The 4,390-nt window shown below is 36.1% G+C and overlaps 1 protein-coding gene across 2 annotated transcripts in view, besides 3 other annotated features; it reads left to right on the top strand.

Moving 5' to 3' along the window:
* The window catches only part of FGF10 (fibroblast growth factor 10), an 89,174-nt gene that overhangs the window by 1,063 nt on the left and 83,721 nt on the right, over positions 1-4,390 (top strand). The gene's annotated exons all lie outside the window — the stretch shown is intronic.
* Positions 1,615-2,662: an enhancer, noted in NCBI's record as "FGF10-int1 enhancer". NCBI's record gives its function as "enhancer in cardiac outflow, forebrain, lens, pharyngeal arches, pancreas, motoneurons, dorsal root ganglion" and the evidence as "EXISTENCE:transgenic organism evidence [ECO:0001131][PMID:22303449]".
* Positions 2,499-2,528: a protein binding site, noted in NCBI's record as "GATA site". NCBI's record gives the evidence for it as "EXISTENCE:protein binding evidence [ECO:0000024][PMID:22303449]".
* Positions 2,557-2,584: a protein binding site, noted in NCBI's record as "ISL1 site". NCBI's record gives the evidence for it as "EXISTENCE:protein binding evidence [ECO:0000024][PMID:22303449]".

Genomic DNA, 4,390 nt, shown 5'->3' with positions numbered 1-4,390 from the left:
GTAAGTAACAAATGCATGCTCCCCTCCTTCCAATTATCCACCCCCAGCCCACACGGGGGGGAAAAATCTGTTCCAGATGTGGCCAGCTAAATATTTACGTCCCCAACCCCTGTAAAATGATTAAGTGGAATACTTTCACACTAATTCACCCCCCAACCCCCGTGTATACATTGTGCTGCCGCATCCCCTCCCCTAAGCGCGCTCCCTTCACATCCCCCACCCCTTGCCGCTCTACCCACCCCTTCCCTCCAGCCTGTCACTAGCCGGACCACGCAGGGCGCTCAAGAGAGTTGTTGCAGTGCAAAGATGCCCCTTTCTCTCTCCACCGCCTTTCCCACCTCATCCAAAGAGCAATTTTTCCTTCCTTCTGGAAATGGCTCAAGTAAACACATTTTGTTTCTTTTCCCTGGCAATCTTGTTAAGAGTTTTGGGACAGGCTCCTCAAGCTGAAAATAATTATCCGCTGTCAATTATAGGGGCTTTGTGGGAACTTTATTTAAGAAAGAAAAGTCAATTCCACTCTCTCCCCACCCCCATCCCTTTACCCCACTACCTCTAGATATGAGCGAAAAGCATTTTTCTGGTTTTGATTTTTGTTTTGTTTTGTTTTGTTTTGGGTCCCTTATGTTAGTTTGAGTGATTGCAGTCCATGAAGTTAGCTTTTCAGGCACCACCGCTGCTATTTGTCTTCTGCCTGCCTTCCCTCTTGGTAACATGATGCTCATGTCTGCATTGTCAATAGCGTATGCACTGCTTTGTGGTGTCCTGTTGTACTGTTTCTTCTGAAACCTCTCATATTGCAGAGCCATACTACTACAGCATTGTAAACATCTGGGACTGGATTCACACAGACCTCACACAAATTTCATTGTCATTCTTTTATTTTCAAAGTAAAAGTCATAAGTCTGTTTCCATGGCTATATTTTATCCCACAGTGTGACATTTTCTCCTCAGCGTAAATTATGCCTGGGATCCCTACATTTTGGTCTTGCCTTTTCCCTCTCTCTTTCCTTCTTTCTCTCTTTCCCTTCTTTCTTTCTTGCAGGGGTGTGGGCTGGTTGGGGGAAGAGAACTAGAAGAAGAGGGGTGGATATTGTGTCTCTTCTTGAATCAACCCAGCAAACCCAGATTACTCTGTTGACTTCCTTTCTCAGATACTTTCAAGTGGTGAGACTTATTCATCCACTATTGATTGTTATGTGAAAGGAACCCAAGGCTCTGTAATGGCACACTGAAGACAGTAGACAATGATGTTTAAACATCTTTAGTGACCATTTGGCATTATCTCAATGGTAAATTCCAAGTCACCTTTAAAGGGGACATTTTTGTGTTAGTTGTTCAGGAATTCTAAGCATAGATTGTCTTGTCAGTTAACTTAAATACGTCAGTCAAACATTTCAAGATTCCTTGGTTTAGAAAGTACCAGGTACTAATGGGAATGACAGTTGACCAGAATTTAGCATTTTATTTTTGAATACAAATTTACAAGAATTAAGAATTTAGTTTTCTTCTGTGGGGATGCACACACATTCAACATTAACTTCTGTTTCTCCTCAGCCACTGGTTCTATTTACTAAAATTCACAATATGTTTATAAGTAATAAAAATACGTGTAGAGGTGCTTTTAAAGTGTTTCATTTTATGTTTCATACTAAAGATATTAAGTACCACATTATCTGATTCAAAGAAAGTAGCTGAAATAATGTCATAATGATGACAATTATTTTTGCTTAAAAATCATTTGTTACCCGAATTCATTAGATCCTATGTATATAACCTTTAAGGTTTTTCGATTAAAAATTTAAAAACTTTATTTACTTCTAAAATAAAATAGTTGTGGTGTCATTCAGTTAGCAGGATGGGGAAGAAGCTATCCAAACATTGGGCTGGACAGAGTGAGCTGGGAATTAACAACAACAACAAAAAATTCTGATGGACTCATTTCTTATTTTTCATGGAGAAAACTCAAAAGAATATGATAAAGTTTCAGAGTGTTATCCTTGAGCAAACATTTTTCTTTTTAAAAAATGTTTGTGCTATACTTTAAATGTCTTTATGATATGACTTAAGGTCAAATCTGCTCTGTTTTAGTTTACACAACCTAAATTGCTATTTTCTAGAATAATAATCACGTGTGATTAGCTGCAGAGTAAAATGATTTCCACAGTACACACTGAATTTCATCTTTACAATAAGAACTATCTGCAAAGAAGAAAAGTATACAATATATATTGTATAAAAGGGGTGTAGAAAAGTTCCATCCTAACTGTCCAAAATATACTAATATTTTATTTTCTCTGTGATAACATATATTACTTGTTATAATGACAAGCTAAATATCTTATATGGTAATGCAATCTTAATCAACGGTTAACAGTGAAAGGGGAGGGGTTCACTCTGCTAAATATTGTCAAACCATAAATAATTTAGGCTTTCCAAGAACATCTGTGTCAAAACATAGCAAGTGAAAATTAGAGATTGAAAAAGCCTTAATTTCACATGTGGCCAGGTAATCTAAATGCTGCTACGATTTCCAGCTGGACTGATTCAGCTGAACTACATGGTATCATTAAGATATTGTCTAAACGTTGCATAATAACATGTGAACAAACTTTTACCATGCCTACAGGGTAGCCAGCCAGCTGTCCACCAAATGGTAGCTTGTTAAATACTAGGATCTCTAACCTCTGAAGAGTGTCAATTCCTTTTCCAAAAACCACATTTCAGTAACATTTTCCTAAACAAGTTATTAATTATTCTCAATACACAAAGCTGTTCTTTTGAGGTTTGCTTATTTGAAGATTAATTTTCTTTGTTACTTTTGACCCTAGTATTATTGCTGCTAAAATACAGTAACAGCTTATCTAAGAGGTTATATGTTTTTGTTGTCCTGGGTAATTAAACAACTGTTTTCTGGCTTTTTGCCAGCAGAATGCTAACAAAAGGGAAGTAAGACAATCATTCATAAGTATTGCAAAATCATTTTTAACTTCTACTTTCAAAGCTAGTTCCCAGAAATTCGATGGTTCTAAAAAGACTACATGCGTTAACAAAGCTCTTCTCTATATGGGTGATTATTATAATTTTTGAGGGTGGGGGGCTATACTTTTTGTTTGCTTCTTTGCCATGATATGAGAGTAGAATAAAGAGAGCAGAGATGAATTATGTTTCTCCTGCTAGAAGTCTGAGAAAGCTTGAATAATTTAGAATAGCTGTGGTGTATCTGTCACTAGATATGTGTAGGCTCATTTAGGTTTTGTTTTATCATTCTTTACATCTAGAGCTTTGCCCTTGAAACCTTACCACTCGGCTTTAGTTCTGACCTCTTAGAAAGGCTGGATACAGCTGTTAGGTATCCTTGCAACTGGGACCAGTTGACTTATTTCTGGATGTGAGTAAAACAGCTGTGAGCTTCTCCCATGGTTGTCATTTGTAGAAAAGAGGGATCTAGTGAAAGGAAAATGTACCCTAAACTTGAGACAATTAAGAATAGATATTCCAAAAAGGGAAACTCACAAAAAAGGCTCCTGGGCCTTTCTGGGAAAGAAGAATGGGAGGCAATAGAGAAATCAATATGTAAAGAGTATGTAGTATAGGCTTTATCTCTTTAAATACACACTTCATTTAATAGTCATAATAGTCCTACAACTATCAACATTTTTCAAATTTGAAAACTCATACTGAAAAAAGTAAATTGTCCAAGGTCATTCAACTAGACATGGGCAGAACCAGGATTCAAGCCCCAGCCTATTGGTTGTATCTCTCCTTTCTTATTGTACCTTTCTGCTACTTCCAACATTAATATCAATTTATTAGAATTTGACACCTCAAATCTCTAAAAAACAAATTATCCAAATCTTTACTTGCTTCTTGCTGTGAACACCCGCAGTTCTTTAGAATTAAATTGGAACAGAAATAAAATGACAATTGCAGAAAAACAAATACATTAAACGTGTCATTGCAGGTGGCCACATGATATCAGACAAGGTTAGTGTATTCTCTAGGTAAACTCTCTCTTTTGATATTTGGGAATATAATTGCTTATGGATACACACAAAATACACATACATCAATCTCACTCATGTTAACAGAGGTCATTAGGAATACATGACTATTTAAGAAAAATCCATGAATGTCATTTTATATAGTAATTGTTTACAGCTGAGGGCCAAATGTTTAATTGTTCCCATGTGTAATAAAATAATTTGATTGTAAATACCTGTGATAAATTGGACTGTTGCAGAAACTTCTGATATATGACTCTAAAAAGGGCGACGTCTTAGAGACTTAAGCCATACATATTAAGAAAATTTTAAAATAAACCTGCAAATCAAAAAGACACTTTACCATATAAAATGATAGATTATTATCTGGGATTATTACTTTTTAA

Source organism: Homo sapiens, chromosome 5 (genome assembly GCF_000001405.40).
Source record: "Homo sapiens chromosome 5, GRCh38.p14 Primary Assembly".
In the NCBI taxonomy this organism is placed as follows: Eukaryota; Metazoa; Chordata; class Mammalia; order Primates; family Hominidae; genus Homo; species Homo sapiens.
The sequence above is the reverse complement of the archived record's forward strand: the minus strand, read 5'-3'. Positions and strand labels throughout refer to the sequence as shown.